At 50.4% G+C, this 24,560-nt stretch overlaps 1 protein-coding gene across 5 annotated transcripts in view, besides 7 other annotated features; it reads right to left on the bottom strand.

The window, feature by feature from the left end:
- The window catches only part of UBE2L3 (ubiquitin conjugating enzyme E2 L3), a 74,588-nt gene that overhangs the window by 47,200 nt on the left and 2,828 nt on the right, over nucleotides 1-24,560 (bottom strand). For 3 of the 5 annotated variants that reach the window (NR_028436.3, NM_003347.4, NM_001256356.2), the window contains exon 1: nucleotides 9,064-9,121. The exons of 1 other annotated variant lie outside the window; for it this stretch is intronic. Coding sequence is in view for 2 of the 4 variants with exons in the window: in NM_003347.4 (NP_003338.1) it covers nucleotides 9,064-9,090 (27 nt within the window). In the remaining 2 variants the exon portion in view is untranslated. Of the gene's footprint in view, nucleotides 1-8,457; nucleotides 9,122-24,560 lie in introns of those variants that run through there. One more of the 5 variants, NR_046082.2, reaches the window with a different exon arrangement.
- Nucleotides 6,792-6,861: an enhancer, noted in NCBI's record as "active region_18698". NCBI's record gives its function as "activates an Ori minimal core promoter by ATAC-STARR-seq in GM12878 lymphoblastoid cells {active_cell/tissue: GM12878}" and the evidence as "EXISTENCE:reporter gene assay evidence [ECO:0000049][PMID:35858748]".
- Nucleotides 8,668-8,807: a silencer, noted in NCBI's record as "silent region_13508". NCBI's record gives its function as "represses an Ori minimal core promoter by ATAC-STARR-seq in GM12878 lymphoblastoid cells {active_cell/tissue: GM12878}" and the evidence as "EXISTENCE:reporter gene assay evidence [ECO:0000049][PMID:35858748]".
- Nucleotides 9,058-9,297: a silencer, noted in NCBI's record as "silent region_13507". NCBI's record gives its function as "represses an Ori minimal core promoter by ATAC-STARR-seq in GM12878 lymphoblastoid cells {active_cell/tissue: GM12878}" and the evidence as "EXISTENCE:reporter gene assay evidence [ECO:0000049][PMID:35858748]".
- Nucleotides 9,940-10,127: a silencer, noted in NCBI's record as "fragment chr22:21920997-21921184 (GRCh37/hg19 assembly coordinates)". NCBI's record gives its function as "represses an EF-1alpha promoter that drives an FKBP-Casp9 reporter gene in an ReSE screen in HepG2 liver carcinoma cells {active_cell/tissue: HepG2}" and the evidence as "EXISTENCE:reporter gene assay evidence [ECO:0000049][PMID:32094911]".
- Nucleotides 16,332-16,892: an enhancer, noted in NCBI's record as "H3K27ac-H3K4me1 hESC enhancer chr22:21914232-21914792 (GRCh37/hg19 assembly coordinates)". NCBI's record gives its function as "activates a minimal SCP1, AML or CMV promoter by ChIP-STARR-seq in primed H9 embryonic stem cells {active_cell/tissue: H9 hESC(primed)}" and the evidence as "EXISTENCE:reporter gene assay evidence [ECO:0000049][PMID:30033119]".
- Nucleotides 20,701-20,995: a silencer, noted in NCBI's record as "tiled region #10827; K562 Repressive non-DNase unmatched - State 25:Art". NCBI's record gives its function as "represses a minimal TATA promoter and a strong SV40 promoter by Sharpr-MPRA in K562 cells {active_cell/tissue: K562}" and the evidence as "EXISTENCE:reporter gene assay evidence [ECO:0000049][PMID:27701403]".
- Nucleotides 22,459-22,612: a silencer, noted in NCBI's record as "fragment chr22:21908512-21908665 (GRCh37/hg19 assembly coordinates)". NCBI's record gives its function as "represses an EF-1alpha promoter that drives an FKBP-Casp9 reporter gene in an ReSE screen in K562 erythroleukemia cells {active_cell/tissue: K562}" and the evidence as "EXISTENCE:reporter gene assay evidence [ECO:0000049][PMID:32094911]".

Here is a 24,560-nt window from a genome sequence, read left to right as displayed (position 1 = left end):
GAGACTGCGTCTCAAAAAAAAAAAAAAAAAAAAGGAAAGAGAAGACAAGAAGCAAGAATATTACATCTGAGACCTCAACTTCTCAATCAAGAGTTGCTTTCGGCCAGGCGCAGTGGCTCACATCTGTAATCCTAGAATTTTGGGAGGCCGAGGTGGGCGGATCACAAGGTCAGGAGTTTGAGACCAGCCTAACCAACATGGTGAAACCCCAGCTCTACTAAAAATACAAAAATTGGGGGCCGGGCATGGTGGCTCACGCCTGTAATCCCAGCACTTTGGGAGACCGAGGCAGGAGGATCATAAGGTCAGGAGATCGAGACCATCCTGACTAACATGGTGAAACCCCGTCTCTACTAAAAATACAAAAAAATTAGCTGGGCATGGTGGCGGGCACTTGTAGTCCTGGCTACTCGGGAGGCTGAGGCAGAAGAATGGCGTGAACCTGGGAGGTGGAGCTTGCAGTGAGCCGAGATCGCACCACTGCACTCCAGCATGGGCGCCAGAGCAAGATTCCATCTCAAAAAAAAAACAAAAAAAAACAAAAATGCAAAAATTAGCCAGGCGTGGTGGCGTGCGCCTGTAATCCCAGCTACTCAGGAGGCTGAGGCAGAAGAATTGCTTGAACCCGGGAGGCGGAGGTTGCAGTGAACCAAGATCACACCATTGTACTCCAGCCTGGGTGAAAGAGCGAGACTCCGCCTCAAAAAAAAAAAAAAAAAAAAGTTGCTTTCAAACCTCCACCCCTGCCCCAGTTCAGCACCTGTGGGAGCCTTCCATAGCACCTATGCTCATCTTTGGACACAGTGACTGTCACACTACACTGGATGTTTACAATATGCAAGGTAAATTTCTGAGATATTAGAAAGACAAATTTTGAGTTCAAGAGCTATTCAATTTTAAGCTGGGCACAGTGGCTCACGCCTGTAATCCTTTGGGAGGCTAAGGTGGGTGGATCGCCTGAGGGCAGGAGTTCGAGACCAGCCTGGGAAATGGAGAAACCCCGTCTCTACTAAAAATACAAAAATCAGCCGGGTATGGTGGCGCATATCTGTAGTTCCAGCTACTCGGGAGGCTGAGGCAGGAGGAATGGCTTGAACATGGGAGGCAGAGGTTGCAGTGAGCTGAGATGGTGCCACTGCACTCCAGCCTGGGTGACAGAGTGAGACTCCGTCTCCAAAAAAAAAAAAAAAAAAAAAAAAAAAAGCTATTCAACTTTGTTGGGAAAAGTAAACTTTTCTCTTTTTTCTTTCGAGAGTCTCGCTCTATCACCCAGGCTGGAGCGCAGTGGCACCATCTCAGCTCACTGCAACCTCCGCCTCCCGGATTCAAGCGATTCTCCTGCCTCAGCCTCCAGAGTAGCTGGGATTACAGGCATGCACCACCACACTCGGCTGATTTTTGTATTTTTTTTTTTTTTTTTTTAGTAGAGATGGGGTTTCGTCATGTTTCCCATGCTGGTCTCCTCAAGTGATCCACCCGCCTTGACCTCTCAAAGTGCTGGGATTCGGATATGAGCCACCACGCCCAGCCAAGTAAACATTTTTCTTTTTCCTTTTCTTTTTTTTTTTTTTTTTTTGAGATGGAGTCTTACTCTGTTGCCCAGGCCAGAGTGCAGTGGCATGATCTTGGCTCACTGCAACCTCTGCCTCCTGGGTTCAAGCAATTCTCCTGCCTCAGCCTCCCGAGTAGCTGGGATTACAGGCACATGCCACCACACCCAGCTAATTTTTTTGTGATTCTAGTAGAGACGGGGTTTCACCATGTTGACCAGGCTGGTCTCGAACTCCTGACCTCAAGTGATCCACCTGCCTTAGCCTCCCAAAGTGCTGGGATTACAGGTGTGAGCTACTGCGCCAAGCCAACATTTTTTGAGACAGAGTCTCACTCTGTCACCCAGGCTGGAGTGCAGTGGCACGATCTCAGCTCGCTGCAACCTCTGCCTCTCAGGTTCAAGCAATTCTTCTGCCTCCCCCTCCCTAGTAGCTGGGATTACAGGCACGCACCACCAGGCCTGGTTAATTTTTGTATTTTTGGTAGAGATGGGTTTTCACCATGTTGGCCAGGATTGTCTCAATCTCCTGACCTCATGATCCGCCCACCTCGGCCTCCCAAGGTGCTAGGATTACAGGCATGAGCCACCGCGCCTGGCCCCCAGCCAACATTTTTAAACAAACATTCACACAGCTGTCTCAGTAACTCTTTCTCCAACCTACAGAATAAGAGAGTACCACAGGTAAGAGAATGGGCTCTCAGTGATGAGGGTATGTCCAGGCAGACTGGCCCCAACCTGTCCCGAAAACACCTTTGCAATACCATCTCCTATCACTCCTCCAAATCCTCCCCTCCTGTCAGGCTGGTCACCTCCCTGCCCTGGAACATGTCTTGGTTATTCCCAATAATATCTACAAGTAGCTCACACTTACTATATGCCAGGCACTCTTCTAAGCAGTTGGTATATATTAACTCATTTAACCTTCACACACGGACGAAGTAACTAAGGCACAGAGAGGTAAAGTAACTTGCCCAGGGTCACTCAGCTAAGACATGGCAGGCCCAGGATTGAAACTCCAGAACCTGAGCTTTTAACTGCTATGCTGTAGTCTTCCTCTAAACAGCTTTGCTCTGAGCAAAAGCCCCTTCCTCCCTTTCTTATAGGGGTGGGGGGCTTGGGGAGGTTAGGCTTATTTATGTCCCCCAAGAACAGGCATGATGAAGCTGGCCACAGGAGATACATGCAAAGCCCTTTCTGAGTGAGTGGCATGCCACTTCTCCTGGATAGCTGTAGCATCCAGGAGATATGTAGATCTGGCCCCTCAACCTAAAGGCTATGGCATCTCTGCCACCTGTCCTTAAATCCATCAGCACTGCCCTCAGTGACCCCTCTATAGAGAGGTAGCTCACCCTCCAAGGCTGGCCTGGCAGAGGGAGGTCTCCTAGCTCTGGAGGAACCAGGTGCACTGGACATGCCAATCTGGGGTAAAATCAAGCCAATGCCTCAACACTTCTGGAAAGCATCTCAGGGGCTGGCCTAACTAAAACCCAAAGCGGGACGGCACAAGGTCAGACGCAAGCAGCACTGGGGAGTAGGCAGATGGTCTCTGGGGCTCCTCAAAGCATTTCCCATAGGCACTGCCCACAGCCCTCCTGAGGGATGAGAGAGACTCAACCTCACTGGCCACCCAGTCCGTCTTCTTCAACTGCTGAAACCCTACTCGTGCTTAAAGGGCCAGGCCAAGTTCGACCTCCTCCTCAGTGTCAGAGGGGGTCTTTCCCTCTCCTGCAAGCCATTATTCAGGTGGCAGACATCTAGCACACAGTGGCCAGCCCAGGATTTCTTTGTTCCAGGTACGTGCCATTTTTCTCCTTTGTTGAGCTCCTCAAGGGCAGAGGAATTGCCCCTTGAGCTGAGTCTCAAAGGTCAAAAAGTTACCCTGGTACAGAGAAGAGACAGGGATGCCAATCACGAGATCCAGAGTGTGTGTGCAAAGCATGCTGTTTTTAGGGGACTCAACGGGCAAGTGGGGAGAGACAAGGCTGGTGAGACAAGACCTTGAAGGAAAAAGCTAAGGAATGTGCACTTGTAATCCAGAGTCCCAGCCTCATCCTCACCCTACTAAATTCTGCTCCAATCTCTGAGAGCAGGGCCTGCTCATGTGCACTTCTCTACTGCACACCACACCATACACTACTCTGATGCACTGCTGGTTAGGAGTAGTGTGGGACAGAGAGTGCGCTGACCAGTAAGGAGTTTAGATGAACCATTAAGGAGCTCGATGCAGGTGTCTACCACAAACAGGGATGGCCTGAACTGAGGCAGTGGGAGTGGCAGTGGCATTGGGAGTGGGAGTGGGGATGGAGAGAAGACAGGCAGAGAAGAGAGACTGAAGGCATAGTTCAGCAGAATCCGCCAGGTGACTAGACAAGGGAGGAAGAGCCGAGAAGGGCTCCGCTGGCGTTTTTTCCTTGAGCAACTGAGTAGACAAGTGAACCATTAACTAAGGTGGGACAGGAGGAGATGCATGGGGCCAGAGGGAGAGAGTCACAGGAGGAGCTAAGACTCAGATGCCTACAGATCTATGTGCCGTTCCCAAGAAAACTCTGGAAGTGGTTGGAGTCTGGCTCAGGAGGAACGTCTCTGTGGCTCTCTAATGTGCACAGTGTGTGCAGTGTGTGTGCAGTGTGAAGCTGCAAAGAAATGTGGCTCTCACATTTACTGCTGTAGCAAAGAATATAGAAATATCTTAAACGTAATAAATGTTCCAATAAAATGAGAATACTTTCAAGTGTCCTCTTATAATAAAATTTTAAAGCAACAGTCTCCTAATTTAGAGTTTTAACAAGATCAGAAAAGGCCCCAGTACCCTGAGACAAGAGTTTTTGTCTCAGGGTTTTCTTTTTTTTTTTTTTTTTTTGAGACGGAGTCTCGCACTGGAATGCAATGACACAATCTTGGCTCACCGCAACCTCTGCCTCCCGGGTTCAAGCAATTCTCCTGCCTCAGCCTCCCGAGTAGCTGGGATTACAGGCACCCACCACCACGCCCAGCTAATTTTTTGGATTTTTAGTAGAGACGGGGGTTTCACTATGTTGGCCAGGCTGGTCTCGAACTCCTGACCTCATGATCCGCCCACCTCGGCCTCCCAAAGAGCTGGGATTACAGGTGTGAGTCACCACGCCTGGCCTGCCTCAGAGTTTTCTAGTAAATACCTTAAAAGGTCCCAAATGTTGCAATAATTGAGTATACTCCTTCCCATCACCTGTCCCAAACATTTACAAAGAATACCATTAAGGGAGGCTGAAACAGTCCCAACTTACTGGAATGCATGAATTTAGAAAAAAAGACGCAACGTTTTTCTCAATTCACAAAGCCTCAGTGGATTCAGGACATTTACACTGGCATAACATCACATATAAAACTCCCCTCACCTCCTGAAACATGTGACATACTCATTGCTCTATCTCCTTAATCACCCAACCTCAGAATCTAAACCTATACTCAAAAGCAAACTACCTCACTGCTTAATACAACGAAACCCAAGGAATGAACTTTTAGAGGTTCCTCCTACTATGACTATGAACTGGGAGAAAATATAACAATATGAAGTTCTGAGTGAACATTTTTAAATAGCATTAGGCTGGGCGCAGTGGCTCACACCTGTAATCCCAGCACTTCGGGAGGCCTCGGCGGGCAGATCACCTGAGGTTAGGAGTTAGAGACCAGCATGGCAAACATGGTGAAACCTCCTTTCTAATACAAAATTAGCAGGGAGTGGTGGTGCACACCTATAGTATCAGCTACTTGGGAGGCTGAGGCAGGAGAATCGCTTGAACCTGGGAGGCAGAGGTTGTAGTGCACAGAGATCGTGCCATCGCGCTGAAGCCTGGGCAACAAGAGTGAAACTCCTTAACTCAACAGTTATGTCATGATAAGTAATAAGACATTACACACACACCCCTCTAAATCCACAGATTTCCCCTCTGAGAAAAGCCCTTCTGGGAAGCTACTCAACAGGAGGGCCCTTAGGGGAAATGTGTGCAGTGTGAAGCTGCAAAGAAATGATCAGATGGCAATCAGTTGCCTAAGCCACACATAAAGGTTTCACTTTTGGCTTTTGCAGCAATTTCCCCATCCTGATTGAAGCAATGGTTACAATCTGGTTGTAGCCAACAATGCTAAATTAGCTGCTTGCAAATTAAAATGTACTTAATGTTTTATTAACACTGTAATTCCTAAAAAGGCTTCTAAAAGAGGTTAAGCCTCCTGGCAAGTGCTTTTGAAATAAAAGACTTTATCATACTCACTTTGCCTAAAATAACTTCTCAGTGTAGTATATGTAAATCACTCTACTTTTAATAATGTGTTTTACACTATCTGCAGACAGTCCATTGTTACAAAGAAATCTTTGCTGTGGAATGTCCTAGAAAACATTTTTAACAGAAATCTAAAGTTCTTTAAGATGTAATTAATTTGATCATTCAACATTTGCTAGATTGCTATGCCTAAGGCACTGTTCCATGCACTAAGCCCCAACTTTTCACCAACGAAAATCACTTTATTACCACCCTATGTACTGAAAAGACTGTTTATCAACTTGTATCAATAATTTTTCTTCCTTTAAAAGAAAAAAAAAACAGTCTTAAACATTGATTCTCACAGCCAATGATCAGCATTACATAACTGGTGTTCCCCTAGTGAACTGAAAGCCTTTCCATCCTCAACTTAAGAAACAACACACCGCTCCATGCAGCCTTTGAGTAAGAAAGACAGCCTGACAAGAGGCATGGAATTTGGATCCTGGAGCCAGGAAGAGTCAGCGTCTTCTCTCTCCCCACCACGTTCCACAATTCTACCTTAGGTAACTCCCTTAACCTACTTAACCTCACAATGTCCTCATTTATAAAAAATACAAATGACAATACACTAACTTTGAGTGTTGAAAAGATGACTTACGTAAATAACCTAATACTTAATAAATACTCAGTTAATGTTACAATTTTTTTCCAAGGTCTGTTTTTTTTTAGAAACAGAGTAATAATTTTAAAACCATAATAAGTCCCCTCTTAGACCCCTGAGAGCCTGGAGATTCCAAACTGGGTCAACTGGGATAGGCTAGGGGGCTACCAGGATGAATTAGGTCAAGATCCCTGCCCTTCGGGATCTCAGAACCCAGTACAGGAAAGACAAGTCTGTAACACAAAGAGATTGTGACAAGTGCTCAAAGAGAAATATAAAGAAAGCGCTGTGGTCACACAAAGGAGGAAACAACACATTCTGAAGGGGGATGTGGGAGCACGGGCTCACAGAGTAGTTGGCACTGGAGTTGAACCTGGGACTTCTCTGGAAGGGAGAAGTGAGGAGAAGGCAGCTTTTCTTGGGTAGAGCAAACAACACGTGCAAAGGGACATCAGACAGCAAGTAAGAGCAGGAGACTTTGCTTTGGAGAAAGAACCGAATTCGATCACAACTCACTCTCCCTAGCTAGGTAACCCTGGGCAAGCCAAAGAATCTTTTCTCATCGACAAAATGGAAATCACAATGTCTACTTCACAGGAAGGATTAAACATGATCATGCATATAAAGCACGAAGTAAAAGCTGGAAAAATAGTAGCTACTGTGATTAGGTGCAAGAACTGTGGGAAACCAAAGGGCAGGAGGTGAGGCTCAAGGGATTGCTTTCAGCCAGTCTCAGAAAGGTCCTGCATGCCAAGTAAGAGGTTAGGATTAACTGCTGAGGACAATAACACCATAGAGGTTTTTAACAGGAGTGAAAGAATTGAGTTATCTGCTTTAAAAGAACTCTGGTGTCCGTCAGGGGTAGTCTGGGGAGGAGAGCACTTGGGAGGGCACCTGAGAGATGAGGATATAGATTCAGAGTAATTTCAGTAACATTAGAAAGCAAGGCATGCACTCCAGAAATCTTTTTTTTTTTTTTTTTTTTGACATGGAGTCTCACTCTGTCGCCCTGGCTGGAGTGCAGTGGTGCAAACTTGGCTCACTGCAACCTCCACCTGCCGGGTTCAAGCGACTCTTCCACCTCAGCCTCCCGGGTAGCTGAGATTACAGGCAAATGCAACCACGCCCAGCTAATTTTTATATTTTTAGTAGAGACAGGGTTTCACCATGTTGGCCAGGCTGGTCTTGAACTCCTGACCTCAAGTGATCCGCCCGCCTCGGCCTCCCAGGAGTGCTGGGATTACAGGCGTGAGCCATCGCGCCCGGCCTGCACTCCAGAAATCTTTCTAAATTTAAATCCACAAGGGTTAATGGACGACTGCACCTGGGAGTAGGGTAGGAAAGAAAGCCATTAACCGACCCCTTATCTGGTGAATGGTGGTGTCACTAGCTTAAGAGATGAGGAGAGGTCTGAAGTCCTCTGACTGTTCTTTTGTGCCCACTTCCACTCCAGTTTTATAAAGTTAATGTCCTCTCTAGCCCTTAGGGAACAAAAGAAAGGAAACGTTCCCAGGGACGGAGGGAATGCTCAGAGACTGTGGCTCCAAGTTCAATGTCTAGCTCTACCAAGCACTGCTCCGCCTAGAACGAACCCCAGCTCTTTATCTCCCCTCAGGAAACTGGCTCCTGGGCCTTTTTTTAATTTCCGGCCCGTTGCAGGCCGGCAGCACTACCCAGCCGCCGACTCACAGATGCTGGCGGGGTGGGCTACAGAGGACCTTGGCAAATCCACTGGCAAAAGTACTAAGCCAATTTAGCATGTGTTCCTCACCAAAAGGTGCCAATTAGCGAGAAAGCACCCTGCTGCATTCAAGATCCAAAGTACCAAATTATTATTATAAACTTTGGCCCGTTTTGATTCGAACGACTGAAATCAACCGTTATCCCCCCAAAAATGGCACTTTATCAGGGAGGGGAGATCGGGATGACTGAGTGGAGGAGAGGGAAGCAGAACCGCGCCGCGATCGGGGCCGACCTCAGGCCTTCCTGGAGTTGGAACTTACCCGCTGTGTGACTCTGCAGTCACAAGGCGACAGTTTGCTAGGACCCAGCGCAATTCCAAACGACCCACCAACAAACTGACCTAACTTTGGCCGCCTGGCCTCCTTCTCTCTTTCCTAGCCCGAACCTCCCAGACTCCCGAGCTGCGGCCGGGCCAAGCGGAGCTGCAAGCCCGGCGCGCTGCGGCCCAGGGCGGGGCGGTTCCGCGGCGCGGGCTCCGGGCAGGGGCTCCGGCGCTCGGGCCTTCCCCGAAGGCGCCCGGTTTGGAGCCTCCCAACCGGGCTCTCACATTAACGACGCCCTCAGATCGGACCGCGGCCTCCGCGACAGGGGGACGCGGCCAAGCTCCGGGCGGAGAGTGGCGTGAACGCCCCGGGCCGGGCTGAGGGGCCGACAGCGGCTCCCAGCGCGGCCTTGCGCTCCCGCCCAGGCTGCGGCCTAGGCCAGCCCCGTTAGCACCTTGAGCCTGCGCGCGGCCCAGGGAACCGACGAGGCCGTGTAGGGCAGGAAGCCAGACGGCAGCGCCCTGAGAAGCCGCCGCCTGCCTCGGGGATCCGGAGCCTAGGACGCCGCCCCACGCCCGGCCGCTGCCAGAGAATGGCTTTTACCTTCATCAGCCTCCTGCTGGCCGCCATCTTGGATTTGGTGCTGCTCCTTCCCCAGAATGCATCGCGGCCGGCCGGGCGGCTGGAGCCCCCGCACTTCCTGGAGCGGGGGAGGGGCCGCGGGGCGGGGCACAGGAGCAGAGCGGAGCACCTACTGTGTGCTTCCCACTGTGCTGGGGGGCGCGTGGAGGAACGCAAGTGAACCGCACAGACTGGGCCTCAGCGTTTACGGATCGTCCAATCAGATGGCAGTTACAACCAGTGCCTGGCACATAGTAGGAGCATAATAAATACTGATTGCATAAAATAGTTGACCAGGCGCGGGGGCTCACGCCTGTAATCCCAGCACTTTGGGAGACCGAGGCGGGTGGATCACGCGGTCACGAGTTCGAGACCAGCCTGGCCAACGTGGTGAAACTCGGTCTCTACTAAAAATACAAAAAATTAGCCAGGCGTGGTGGCGGGCGCCTGTAATCTCTGCTACTCAGGAGGCTGAGGCAGGAGAATCGCTTGAACCCGGGAGGCAGAGGTTGCAGTGAGCCGAGATCTTGCCACTACACTCCAGCCTGGGTGACAGAGGAAGACTCCGTCTTGGGGGAAAAAAAAAAAGTTGAATAACCAAGGTTACTTCACACTGCCAAGCTCTGTGAAGAAAACTGGGTGATAGGAAAGTGACTGTGGGGACATACTTTGAGAGGTCAAGGAAGCCAAATTGAGGAAATGGCCCTACTAAGTGCCAGACCTCTCTCTAGTGCTTTATTTTCTTTAACCCTTGAAACCATCCTCTGGGATACGTTAGCATTAACATCCTCATTTCACAATAAACAGAAGCACAGAAGAAGCCAGTGACTTGCCCAAGGTCACACGGCCAGCTAGGAGCAGAGCCAGGCTCCTGTCACAGGTGGGCTGCTGGCTCCAAAGCCAATGCTGGGACCTGGAAAATGGGAAGGAACAGCTGGGAGGACTGGAGGAGAATGTTTCAAGCAGAGGAAGCAGCACTGGCGAAGACCATGAGGCTGTCTCAGTGTCCAGAATGGAGTAAAAGGATTATAGGGTGGGAGGGAGGCAGGGGACAGACCATGGAGGGTCTTGTAGAAAGGGGAGGAGTTGGTTTCTATTCCATGTGCTGTGAGAGGTCTTTGATAGATATGAGTATTGACTCCATGGTCAGATGATTTTTTTTTTTTTTGAGACAGAGTCTTGATCTGTCACCCAGGCTGGAGTACAGTGGCACGATAACAGCTCACTGCCGCCTCGACCTCCTAGGCTCAAGGGATCCTCCTGCTTCGCCTCCCAATTAACTGGGACTACAGGCACGTTCCACCACACCCTCCTAAGTTTTTTTTTATTTTTTGTAGAAATGAAGTCTCACTGTCTTGCCCAGGCTGGTCTCAAACTCCTGAGCTCAAGCAGTCCTCCCGCCGCAACCTCCCAAAGTGGTGGGATTACAGGCATGAGCCACCACACCTGGGCTGAGACGCATGTTTTAAAGAGTACTTTGGGGCTTGGCACAGTGGCTGATGCCTGTAATCCCAGCACTTTGGGAGGCTGAGGGGGGTGGATCACTTGAGGTCAGGAGTTTGAGACCACCCTGACCAACATGGTGAAACTCCGTCTCTACTAAAAATACAAAAATTAGCCAGGTGTGGTGGTGGGCGAACGTAATCCCAGCTACTCTGGATGCTGAGGCAGGAGAATCGCTTGAACCTGGGAGGCAGAGGTTGCAGTGAGCCAAGTCCGCGCCACTGCACTCCAGCCTGGGCGACAGAGTGAGACTCCATCTTAAAAAAAAAAAAAAAAAAAGGAGTACTCTGATTGGAAAATGGGGAATGGAGGTGGGTAAGAGGATAAGAAGGGGAGCAGGGGCCACTTGGAAACCGGTTGCAATCATTCAGGCAAAGAGGTGACAGTGGTTTGGACCTCAGGTAGCAATGCAGAGAGAAGAACATAGCTTCAGAATATACTCAGACCTTCTTAAGGAGTTTTTCTCTTTTTTTTTTTTTTTTTTTTTTTTTTTTTTGAGACACAGTTTCACTCTGTCACCCAGGGTGGAGTGCAAAATGGCATGATCTCAGCTCACTGTAACCTCTGCCTCCCGGGTTCAAGTGATTCTCCTGCCTCAGCCTCCTGAGTAGCATAGATTACAGGCACCTGCCACCATGCCCAGCTAATTTTTGTATTTTTAGTAGAGACAGGGTTTTAGCATTTTTGGCCAGGATGGTCTTGAACTCCTGACCTCAAGTGATCCACCCACCTTGGCCTCCCAAAGTGCTGGGATTATAGGTGTGAGTCACTGGGCCTGGACATTTTTCTCCATTTCTAAGAACAGTGGGTTTCTCCTGAAAGGAGAGAAGGAAAGGGAACTGGAAATAATATATCCTGGGGCCGGGTGTGGTGGTTCACACCTGTAATCCCAGCACTTTGGGAAGCCGAGGTGGGTGGATCACGAGGTCAGGAGATTGAGACCATCCTGGCTAACACGGTGAAACCCCATCTCTACTAAAAATACAAAAAATTAGCCGGGCGTGGTGGCGGGCGCCTGTATTCCCAGCTACTCGGGAGGCTGAGGCAGGAGAATGGCGTGAACCCGGGAGGCGGAGCTTGCCGTGAGTGGAGATAGCTCCACAGCACTCCAGCCTGGGTAACACAGCAAGACTCAGTCTCAAAAATATATATATATAGATATATATATCCTGGAATAAGGCTGGCCTCACACTCATCTTGGGAGCCCAGGCTTGACACGGTAAAGGAGGGAGAAACTAGATGACAAGCCTCATGTGATCAGCGATTCTGCCTGCCTTTTACCTCCCCCAAGGCCAGTACACTGAGTGTTCAATACACATTCAGCGTATGCATGAGGGACCCCATCAGATCTCTAGGGTCATGGTGGGACTTAGAAGTCTGGGACTGACTCTGGGGTCTACTGTGAGCACAGAACCTGCCCTTACTGGGCCCAGGACAAATAAAAAACATAGCTGTATTGGGAACTGCTTTCCTCTGTGGAGAATTACGGAGGAAGGGGACGCTTACGCTGAGAAATTCCAAGCCAGTTGAGGAAGCACAGTTCATACCTTTGACCCGGATGTGCTAAGCTGAGAATACAGAGTGGGATCATCAGAGGCTCAATGTCAAGGACTAGCCTTTGCCATGGCATCTTCTTACATCCTCACCGCTGCCTGCAAGATGACTCCCTTGCACTTTGCAGGTGGGGAGTCAAGCCGCTGAGCTACAAAGTGCTTTTACTAAACAAGCACTCAGGAAATGTACCCAGTCCCAGTGGAAGGGCTGCCTGGCCTTTGGGGTCCCTCTCCTGCTCTAAAACCTTCATTGCTCCCTCTAGCAGGCCTGGCTTCTAGTCATACCCGATCCCCTCCACTCAGCCAAACCTTGTTCATACAGACCTATCCTTTCTGTGCCATCTGCCCAAGCCTCCCATCAGAAGTAACCTTGTGGTGACTCATGCCTGTAATCCTAGCACTTGGGGAGGCCAAGGCAGGAGGATTGCTTGAGCCAAAGAGTTTGAGACCATCCTGGGCAACATAGGGAGACCCCGTCTCAACAAAAAATAAAAAAAGAATTAGCCAGGTGTGATGGCCAAGTAATTCTAGCTACTTGGGAGGCTGAAGTGAGAGGATCACTTGGGCCCGGGAGAGTGACACTACAGTGAGCCGTGATCGTGCCACTGCACTCAAGCCTGTGTGAAAGAGTGAGACCATGTCTCAAAAAAAAAAAAAAAAGAAAGAAAGAAAAGAAAAAGAAGTAGACTTTTTTGGCTGCGTACAGTCTCACACCTATAATCCCAGCACTTTAGGAGGCTGAAGCGGGAGAATTACTTGAGGCCCGGAGTTCAAGACCGGCCTGGGCAACATAGAAAGACTACCATATCTACAAAAATAAATAGTCCAGGTGCAGTGGCTCACACCTGTAATCCCAGCACTTTGGGAAGCTGAGGCAGGCGGATCACAAGGTCAGGAGTTCGAGACCAGCCTGGCCAACATAGTGAAATGCCGTCTCTACTAAAAATACAAAAATTAGCTGGGTGTGGTGGAGGGTGCCTATAGTCCCAGCTACTTGGGAGGCTGAGGCGGGAGAATCGCTCGAACCCGGGAGGGGGAGGTTGCAGTGAGCCGAGATCACACCATTGCACTCCAACCTGGGTGACAGAGTGAGAGTCCGTCTCAAAAAAAAAAAAAAAGTATTAATTTTTTTTTTTTGAGACGGAGTCTCGCTCTTCGCCCAGGCTGGAGTGCTGTGGCGCGATCTCGGCTCACTGCAACCTCCGCCTCCCGGGTTCACGCCATTCTCCCGCCTCAGCCTCCTGAGTGGCTGGGACTACGGGAGCCCGCCACCACGCCTGGCTAATTTTTTTTTTTTTTTTGGTATTTTCAGTAGAGATGGGGTTTCACTGTGTTAGGCAGGATGCTCTCGATCTCCTGAGCTCGTGATCTGCCCGACTTGGCCTCCCAAAGTGCTGGGATTATAGGCGTGAGCCACCACACCCGGCCAGTAATAAATTTTTTTTTTTTTTTTTTTGAGACGGAGTCTTGCCCTGTCGCCCAGGCTGGAGTGCAGTGGCGCAATCTCGGCTCACTGCAACCTCCGCCTCCTGGGTTCGAGCGATTTTCCTGCCCCAGCCTCCCGAGTAGCTGGGATTACATGTGCACACCTCTATGCCCAGCTAATTTTTGCATTTTTAGTAGAGACGGGGTTTCACCATGTTGGTCAGGCTGATCTCGAACTTCCGACCTCCTGATCCGCCCATTTCGGCCTCCCAAAGTGCTGGGATTACAGGCGTGAGCCGCCATGCCTGGCAATAAATTTTTTGAAAAGAAGTGGCTTCTTCCTTCTCCTGGACTACCAGGCCCTTCTGCTCCCATTGACCACATGCTATTCCTTCCTCCAGTCAGCATGGAGTCCTGGGCACTCACCTATTAGGCCTTGGGCCCAGGTCCAGAAAAACAGATACACAGGGCCAGGCGCGGTGGCTCACGCCTGTAATCCCAGCACCTTGGGAGGCCGAGGCAGGTGGATCACGAGGTCAGGAGATTGAGAACACGGGGAAAGCCCATCTCTACTAAAAATACAAAAAAAAAAAAAAAAAAAAGCCCAGGCGTGGTGGCTCACGCCTGTAATCCTAGCACTTTGGGAGGCCGAGGCAGGCAGATCATGAGGTCAGGAGATCGAGACCATCCTGGCTAACATGGTGAAACCCCGTCTCTACTAAAAACACAAAAAATTATCTGGGCGTGGTGGCGGGTGCTTGTGGTCCCAGCTACTCGGGAGGTTGAGGCAGGAGAATGGCATGAACCCGGGAGGCGGAGTTTGCAGTGAGCGGAGATTGTGCCACTGCACTCCAGCCTGGGAGACAGAGCGAGACTCCGTCTCAAAAAAAAAAAAAGAAAAAAAGAAAAAATTAGCCGGGTGCAGTGGCGGGCCCCTGTAGTACCAGCTACTCAGGAGACTGAGGCAGGAGAATGGCATGAACCCGGGAGGTGGAGCTTGCAGTGAGCCGAGATCACGCCACTGCATTCCAGCCTGGGTGACAGAGCGAGACTCCGTCTCAAAAAAAAAAAAAAGAAAAAAAAAAGAGGTACACAGGCACCACCTGCCCCCAAGGAGCTCACAGCATCTTGAAGAGGCACCAAGGAAAACACCAGACGGTGTTGAGGGTTTGATGAGGTGTGGGGGCTCAGAGGAGGGGCCTCGCAGAAGCTGGGGGAGGAACCAGGGATGGAAGGAGTTCCCCAGTAGGCAAGAGGACAAGGAAAAGAAAGTGCCTCTGCTGGGGCAGGAAATGGGCACTGGACACTTATACCCTTCATTGGCACCATAGAGCAGTACTAACATGTTCTATTTGATAGGAGAGAAAACTGTGGCCCTGGGAGAAGTGGCCCATCACTGGGCTAGGAAGCTGGGTACCAGGAATTGGACCTCATCTAGAGCATGCAGGTGAGGCTTTGCCTCAACCTCCCTCTGACTACCTGAAGCCTCATCTCCCACATCCCTCGCTTCCCACAATCAGTGCTGTGCCACATCACACCCCCCACTGTGCCCAGGCTGTTCCCTCTGCCTGTGGTGCCTTTGCCATTCCCTCCCACTACACTCCCCATGTCCATCGTGGCAGGGACTCAATTTATCATGCTCCCTTAGGTAAGCTGACAGGAAGATGCATGCTGGACCCCCTTTTTTTTTTGAGATAGGGTCTGGCTCTGTCACCCAGGCTGGAGTATAGTGGTGTGATCATGGCTCAGTGCAGCCTCAACCTCCTGTACTCAAGTTATCCTCCCACTTCAGACTCTCAAGCAGCTAGAACTACAGGTGCACACCTCCATGCCTGGCTAATTTTTGGGAAAAGAAAATTTATAGAGACAGTTTGTCTCTATATTACCCAGGCTGGTCTGTAACTCATGGACTCAAGAGATTCTCCCACCTCAGCCTCCCAAAGTACTGGGATTACAGGTGTTAGCCACCACACCTAGCCTGGACCCTTTTGAGTGCAAAGGCAGCACCCAGCATCTCTGTGACTCCCCCAAAAGCCCTCTGGGTCAGAACTGCTATCAACCCCATTTACAGAGGAAAAAACTGAGGCTCAAGCTGTTCCTCAGCTTCTCAGTCATCTGGCTGGTCAGAGGCTCAAGCCCAAGTCTGTTCTTGGACTGTGAGGGCCAGACCAAGTCCTGAGGGGGCTTAGATAACCTAAAGGACTCCCTCTTTCTTTCCTTTCTCCCTCCCACCTTCCTTCCTTTCTATCCTCCTTCTTCTCTCTTTTCCTTCCTTCTCCTTTCCACCTTCCTTCTACTCCATTCTCTGTGCTTAGTGAATGAAGAAATTAACACATTACTTGGCCCTTGTCATCCCCTGGCTAGATTGCATGCTTAACAAACATTTGATGAAGGACTGTCCTCTGACCTAGAGCTATGGCCAAATGACAGAACAAATGGTCATTGCTACTCGTGCCTTTGGGAAGTGGGCAAAGCCTCAAGTTTCAGGCTGCAGAGGAAGGAGGGTGATTGAAATAGATCCAGCCCGGGAGCGGTGGCTCATGCCTGTAATCTCAGCACTTTGGGAGGCTGAGGTGGGCAGATCACCTGAGGTCAGGAGTTTGAGACCAGCCTGGCCAACGTGGTGAAACCTCGTCTCTGCTAAAAATACAAAAACTAGCCAGGCGTGGTGGCATGCGCCTGTAATCCCAGCTACTTGGGAGGCTGAGGCAGAAGAATCGCTTGAATCCAGGAGACAGAAGTTACAGTGAGCCAAGATTGCGCCACTGCACTCCAGCCTGGATGATAGAACGAGACTCCATCTCAAAAAAAAAAAAAAAAAAAAAATAGATCTAAAGGGAAGAGAAATGGAGATGCTACAAGACAGAAGATACGTCTGTCCTGGCAGCAGTGTGGAGCTGGGAAACAGAGACGCTGATAGCAGCAATGGGGATCTCAGGAAGCAGTGCCTGCTTGTTCAAAGGCTCAGGGATTACAGTAACACTCAGGCTGCCAGAGCCAGAGGGCAAGACCCTGCAAGCACCAGTTCAGAGCCCAGACTCAGGTCACACAGACCTGCCCATAAGTCCCTGTGTGACCCTGGACAGTTTCCTTCTCTGGAGAGGAGAGTGCCAGGCTCTCTGGCTATGGGGAGGATTCAGCGATGAGGCTTGTAAAGTGCAGATGGGAAGGGGCTGACCACTCGCTGCAGAGGCACATGAGCTGGGGAGCTGGGCCAGGGCCACCAGGGCAGGAAGCCAGCCCAGTAGGCCAGGGGGCCCCAGCCAGAGAGCTAGAAGCTCGCACCATACTACCCTCCTGGCCCAGGAAGATGTGGACCAGCCAGGCAGGCTGCAGGGCCCAGGAAGAGCAGCACGGTCCCTCTCCAGGTATCCAGCCCCATCCAGTGCTGGGGGATGAAAGGAACTCCACTGGAACTCAGCGGGTTAGGGTCTGGCCAGGTGACCCTCCCTCTCTGAGCTCCAGTCCTCCCTGCACCCTCAAACGAGGGTCATGATAGGACGGGAAAATATCAGTGCAAGAAGGGATGTGAGTGCCCTGAGGGTGGTGGGCATGGGTGAGGGCTGGTACAGATAGCCAGACTGCAGGAGGCTGGGGGTTTGCAGCTCCAGTTCCCACTGCCTGAAATCGCCTCCCAGCTCCTCTGGCAGCCCTCACTCCCTCTCCTTCAGCTCTCAGCTCTTGTGTTTCCTCCTTGCCTCATGCAGGAAGCCTGCTCTGATGCGGCTCTTCTCCCCATGAGCACCACATTCCTCACCCAGAGCACTCGCCCAAGCGCCAATGTTACTACATTCCATTGTTATTTGTATTTAACCTTTGCATTCTCCCCCAAACTGAGCCCTGAGGAACCCAGTTTGAAAACCATTCATGTAATCCATCACTTTCATTTATTGTTTGTTTGTTTATTTATTTATTTATTTATTTTGAGACAGAGTCTTGCTCTGTCACCCAGGCTGGAGTGCAGTGGCACAACCTCAGCTCACTGTAACCTCCACTTCCTAGGTTAAAGCAATTCTCCTGCCTCAGCCTCCCGAGTAGCTGGGATTACAGGCACCTGCCACCACGTCCGGCTAATTTTTGTGTTTTTTAGTAGAGATGGGGTTTCACCATGTTAGCCAGGCTGGTCTCAATCTCCTGATCTCAAGTGATCCACCCACCTTGGCCTCCCAAACTGCTGAGATTAGAGGCGTGGGCCACCATGTCCAGCTTCACTTTTATTTCATAGGTGAGAAAGCTGGACCGGGAGAGGGTAGGAGCTTGGTGAGCCCATGCTGGGACACCTGCCTCCCAGTCTGCAGCTCATTCTCATAGATCATGGACTGTCAATTCCCTAAGGACAGCAGCCACATCTGGCCTGTCTGCCTCTGTCTTCTTCAGTCCTGTATTTACTGAGCACCTATCATGTGCCAGGCACTGTTCTAGACATGGAGGAGACAGCAAAGAACAGACAGAAAACACATAGAAACAAAAATAAAAAATATGCGGCTGGGTGTGGTGGCTCATGCCTGTAATCCCAGCCCTCTGGGAGGCTGAGGTGGGAGGATCACTCGAGATTAAGAGTTTGAGACCAGCCCAGGCAACATAGGGAGACCCTGTCTCTACAAAAAAAAAAAAAATTAAGTGTTTTTTTTTTTTTTTTTTTTGAGACAGAGTCTCACTTTGTCGCCAGGCTGGAGTGCAGTGGTGCTATCTTGGCTCACTGCAAGCTCTGCCTCCCGGGTTCACGCCATTCTCCTCCCTCAGCCTCCCAAGTAGCTGGGACTACAGGCGCCCGCCACCACACCTGGCTATTTTTTGTATTTTTAGTAGAGACGGGGTTTCACCGTGTTAGCCAGGATGGTCTCGATCTCCTGACCTCGTGATCCGCCTGCCTCGGCCTCCCAAAGTGCTGGGATTACAGGCGTAAGCCACTGCGCCCGGCCAAAAATTAAGTTTTTAATAAATAAAAATAAAGGATATGGAATGAAAAGCTGGGGGAGCTACTGTAGCAATGGGGGATGGGAAGCTTAAACCCTCCTGCAGGCTCTCAGGATGGAGCCCATTCCCCTCCTCAAGGCCAGGCAGGCTCCACAAAGCTTGGGGCTTTGGTAGCCGAACAGAAATGGAGCCAGGCCATGCCGGCAGGAGAAGGATGTGAACCAGGTTGCCCAGGAACCCAGACTCCGTGGCCCAAAAGTCATAGACTGGGGTTGTAGAGAGAGGGAAAGTGGAATACAGAGCTGGCGATGTGGAGCCAACTGAGACGTAAGGGGGACATATTGCCTTCTCTCCGGGTCAGGGAAGTCATTATGTACTGGGATGGTGTATGTGTGTGTTGTGTGTGTGTGAGCACACAATGGGCAAGAGGTCCTCTAACCCAGGGGTTCTCAAACTTGTTTCAAGGAGCATAATGCTTTATTAAACCAAAACACTTCTTCGAATCTGATAAATGACACTTAAGAGTAGATCTGCCGGCCGGGTGCTATGGCTCACACCTGTAATCCCAGCACTTTGGAAGGCCAAAGAGGGTGGATCACGAGGTCAGGAGATCGAGATCATCTTGGCTGGCACGGTGAAACCCCATCTCTACTAAAAATACAAAAATTAGCCGGGCTCGGTGGCGGGCACCTGTATTCCCAGCTACTCGGGAGGCTGAGGCAGGAGAATGGCATAAACCCGTGAGGCGGAGGTTGCAGTGAGCCAAGATTGCACCACTGCACTCCAGCCTGGGTGACAGAGCGAGACTCTGTCTCAAAAAAAAAAAAGAGTAGATCTGCCCATTGAAGCAAGTATGGGCACTGTCTCTCCCCATCCGCTTCCTGCATACCTCCTCCCAACAGGCCTATGGTATTTCTGTTTAATTTATTTTTATTTATTATTATTGTTTTTATTTTGGGGGGTTGGGTTTTTCGTTTTTTTGGTTGTTTGAAACAGAGTCTGGCTCTTTCGTCCAGGTGGAAGTGGAGTGGCACAATCTCAGTCCACTGTAACCTCTGCCTCCCAGGCTCAAGGTATCCTTCCATCTCAGCCTCCCAAATAGCTGGGACTACAGGCGTGCACCACCATGCCAGGCTAAATTTTGTAATTTTTTTATAGAGATGCAGCCTTGCCATGTTGTCTAGGCTGGTCTTGAACTCCTGAGCTCAAGTGATCTGCCCGTCTCAGCCTCCCATAGTGGTGGAATTACAGGCATGAGCCGTCACATCTGGCCTGTTGTTAATTTTTTTTTCTTTTTTTTTTGACTCAGACTCTCACTCTGTTGCCCAGGCTGGAGTGCAATGGCGTGATCTCAGCTCACTGCAACCTCCACCTCCTGAGTTCAAGCAATTCTCCTGCCTCAGCCTCCCGAGTAGCTGGGATTACAGGCACCTGCCACCATGCCCAGCTAATTTTTGTATTTTTAGTAGAGACAGGGTTTCACCATATTGGCCAGGCTGGGCTCGAACTCCTGACCTCGTGATCTGCCCACCTCGGCCTCCTTACTGGGATTATAGGCATGGGCCACTGCGCCCAGCCTATTAATTTTTTTATTGGCCAGGTGTGGTGGCTCATGCCTGTAATCTCAGTACTTTGGGAGGCCGAGGCAGGTGGATTGCTCGAGGTCAGGAGTTTAAGACCAGCCTGGGCAACATGGTAAGACCCTATCTCTACAAAAAAAAAAAAATACAAAAAAAAAAAAGAAAAAAGAAAAGAAAAATTAGCCGGGCATGGTGGTGCTAGCCTGTAGTCACAGCTACTCGGGAGGCTGAAGTGAGAGGATTGCTTAAGTCCAGGAGGCGAACGTTGCAGTATGCCGAGATCACGCCACTGCACTCCAGCCTGGATGACAGAGCAAGACCCTGTCTCCAAAAAATAAATGATAAAACAATTTTAAAATTTATTTTATTTTACTTTTTTTTTAGAGATGGAGTCTCTTTGTAGCCCAGGCTGGAGTGCAGTGGCATGATCATTGCTCACTGCAGCTTTGAATTCTTGGGCTCAAACTATTCTCCCACTTCAGCCTCCTAAGTAGCTGGGGCTACAGGCACACGCCACTATGCCTGGCCTTTTTTTGTTTGTTTTAGAAACAGGGTGTCACTATGTCTCCCAGGCAGGAGTGCGGTGACTCACTCATGGCTCATTTCAGTCTTGACGTCCCAGGCTCAAGCAATCTTCCCACCTCAGCCTCCCAAGTCTCTAGGAGTACAGGCATGCACCACCATGCCCAGTTAATTTTTGTGTTTTTTGTAGAGGTGGGTGTCATGTTGCCCAGGCTGGTCTCAAACTTCAGAGCTCAAGTACTCCACCCATCCCCGCCTCCCAAAGGGCTGGGTATACAGGCTTAAGACACCATTCTGGGCCACAATTATTTTATTTCTCTTTGAGATGGAGTCTCTCTCTGTTGCCCAGGCTGGAGTGCAATGGCACGATCTCAGCCCACTGTAACCTCCACCTCCTGGGTTCAAGTGATTCTCCTGCCTCAGCCTCCCGAGTAGCTGGGATTACAGGCGTGTGCCACCATGCCTGGCTAATTTTTGTATTTTTAATAGAGACAGGGTTTCACCATGTTGGCCAGGCTGGTCTTGAACTCCTGATCTCAAGTGATCCACCCACCTTGGCCTCCTAAAGTGCTGGGATTACAGGCATGAGTCACAGCGCCCAGCCTACAAAAAAAAAATTTTTTTTTTTTGAGATGGAGTCTTGCACTGTCACCCAGGCTAGAGTGCAATGGCATGATCTCGGCTCACTGCAACCTCTGCCTCGCGGGTTCAAGCGATTCTCCTGCCTCAGCCTCCCGAGTAGCTGGGATTAGGCGTGCATGCGCCACAATGCTTAGCTAATTTTTGCATTTTTAGTAGAGACGGGTTTTCACCATGTTAGCCAGGCGGGTCCCGAACTCCTGACCTCAGGTGACCTGCCCGCCTTGGCCCCCCAAAGTGCTGGGATTACAGACATGAGCCACCGAGCCCGGCCAACCTGCTCCTTTTCTAACCTGGGCCAGTTCACCTCTCCTTAGACAAGCTGGTGGTTTCCTGCTCCCAGGAAGTCACCAATTTATGCCAAATTTAGTGCAGACACCCCATCAGTATAGTACATTACAATCCAGAAGTCCTGGATCCAAGCAAGCCTCCTGCCTCAGCCTCCCAAGTAGCTGGGAGTATAGGTGTGTGCCCAGCAGTTCTATATTTCCAAGGAACCCTGGAGCCCTAAAGAACCCAGTTTGAAACCACCACTTTCAGGCTGGGCATGGTGGCTCATGCCTGTAATCCCAGCACTTTGGGAGGCTGAGGCCTGTGGATCACTTGAGGTCAGGAGTTCAAGACCAGCCTGGCCAACATGGCGAAACCTCGTCTCTACTAAAACTATGAAAATCAGCTAGGCATGGTGGCAGGTGTTTGTAATCCCAGCTATTTGAGAGGCTGAGGCAGGAGAATCACGTGAACCCAGGAGGTGAAGATTGCAGTGAACCGAGATCATGCCACTGCACTCCAGCGTGGGTGACAGAGTGAGACTCCATCTCAAAGAAAAAAAAAAGAAACCATCTCTTTCATTTAATAGGTGAGAAAGTTGAACCTGGAGAAGGCAGCAGCATGGTGAGCTCATGCAGGGACTCCTGCCTCCCTGCAACTCATTCTCATATGTCCTGGGCACCAGTGATGTGCTAAGTCACATGCAGGGATGCAATAGGGACAAGGGAAAACATGGCTTCTGCTCTCCCCAAGATCAGAGTTGATGGGGGTGACAGGCAGGTCACTGGACAATCACTGCACAACATGATGAGAACAGGGATGGCAGAAACCCAGCCCTGGGGAAGCCTGGCTTTGCTCATCCACTCAACCAACATTCCCGAATGCTTTTGACATACTTTGGGGCAGCTGCTGGATGGTAACCGTGGGGTTCCCAGAGACCCATCCACCCCAGTGTCCTTTTTCTTGGTGACAGCCTACTCTCTTTTTTTAATTTTAATTTTAATTTTTATTTTTGAGATGGAGTCTTGCTCTGTCGCCCAGGCTGGAGTGCAGTGGCGGGATCTCGGCCCACTGCAAGCTCCACCTCCTGAGTTCATGTCATTCTCCTGCCTCGGCCTCCCAAATAAGTGAGACTACAGGTGCCCGCCACCACGCCTGGCTAATGGCTAATTTTTTGTATTTTTAGTAGAGACGGGGTTTCACCATGTTAGCCAGGATGGACTCTATCTCCTGACCTCGTGATACGCCTGCCTTGGCCTCCCAAAGTGCTGGGATTACAGGAGTGAGCCACCGCACCAGGCTTTTTTTTTTTTTTTTTTTGAGACAGTCTTGCTTTGTTGCCCAGGCTGGAGTGCAGTGGTGCCATCACAGCTCATTGCGACTTTGACCTCACCTTGCAGGCTCAAGCAATCATTTCATCTCAGCTGGAAATGCAGACTGGGTCTCGCTCACTCTGTTGCCCAGGCTAGTCTCAAACTCCCGGGCTTAAGTGACCCTCCCATCTCAGCCTCCTGGGTAGCTGGCACTACAGGCATGCACCAGCACGCCCAGCTAAAATTTTTTTTGTAGAGACAGGGTCTCTCTATGATGCTCAGGCAGGTCTTGAGTTCCTGGGCTCAAGTGATCCTCCCACCCTGGTCACCCAAAGGGCTGGGATTACAGGTCTGTGCCACCATGCCCGGCCCAGCCTGCCCTCCTGACCTGACAGTTGAGGCCCTACTGGAGACTGCAGCAGGGCATCCAGGCTGTGAAACCCCACCCACCAGCTCTGCCTCAGTTGCCCATGTGCCCTGGCAAGCCAGTGGCTCTCACTGAGCCTCAGGTTCTCTTCCGTAAAACAGGGCTGTGATGAAGATTCTCTCAAGATAGTCCTCCCTGTGGCTACCATGTCCAGGAGCCCAGCACCAGTTCAAGGCTAAGGCCATCCCTGCATCTCACCTCCCCTTCCTCTCACATACACACTACATCTGCCTCACCTCTCATAAAGAACATCTGGGCTGGGCACGGTGGCTCACGCCTGTAATCCCACCATTTTGGGAGGCCAAAGTGGGCGGATCACAAGGTCAGGAGATCGAAATCATCCTGGCCAACATGATGAAACCCTGTCTCTATTAAAAATACAAAAATTAGCTGGGCGTGGTGGCGCATGCCTGTAATCCCAGCTACTCAGGAGGCTGAGGCAGGAGAATCACTTGAACGAGGGAGTCGGAGGTTGCAGTGAGCCGAAATCGTGCCACTGCATGCCAGCCTGGTGACAGAGCAAAACTCTGTCTCAAAAATAAAATAAAATAAAATAAAATAAAATAAAATAAAATAAAGGGCCATGCGCGGTGGCTCACGCCTGTAATCCCAGCACTTTGTGAGGCCGAGGCGGGCAGATCAACAGGGTCAGGAGATCAAGACCATCCTGGTTAACATGGTGAAACCCCATCTCTACTGAAAATACAAAAAAAATTAGCCAGGCGTGGTGGCGGGCACCTGTAGTCCCAGCTACTTGAGAGGCTGAGGCAGGAGAATGGCGTGAACTCAGGAGGCGGAGCTTGCAGTGAGCAGAGATTGCGCCACTGCATTCCAGCCTGGGCGACAGAGCGAGACTCCATCTCAAAAAAAAAAAAAAAAAAAAAGAACATCTGGAGCCATAATTCCCGATGTTCTTGTTACTTGACACTGCCTAAAGGCATGTTCTGTGGGTTCCGGGGAAACTGATTTGAAAAACTTGAGTGTTGTAAAGGAGGGCCATAAGCTGAGTGAACACAGCAGTTGTGAGAGGTCCCAGGTGCTTCCTGGGGACAGGGAGACACGACAGACCAAGAAGCAAAGGGGCCTCTGATGTGACTTCAATATCAAGGTCTTGTCGGGCACAGTGGCTCATGCCTGTAATCGCAGCACTTTAAGAGGCCGAGGCGGGTGGATCACTTGAGGTCAGAAGTTCAAGACCATCCTGGCCAACATACTGAAACCCTGTCTCTACTAAAAAGTACAAAAAATTAGCTGGGCATGGTGGCTCAAGCCTGTAATCCCAGCTACTTGGGAGGCTGAGGCAGGAGAATCTCTTGAACGTGGAAGGTAG

This window comes from Homo sapiens, chromosome 22 (genome assembly GCF_000001405.40).
Source record: "Homo sapiens chromosome 22, GRCh38.p14 Primary Assembly".
NCBI lineage: Eukaryota > Metazoa > Chordata > Mammalia > Primates > Hominidae > Homo > Homo sapiens.
The sequence above is the reverse complement of the archived record's forward strand: the minus strand, read 5'-3'. Positions and strand labels throughout refer to the sequence as shown.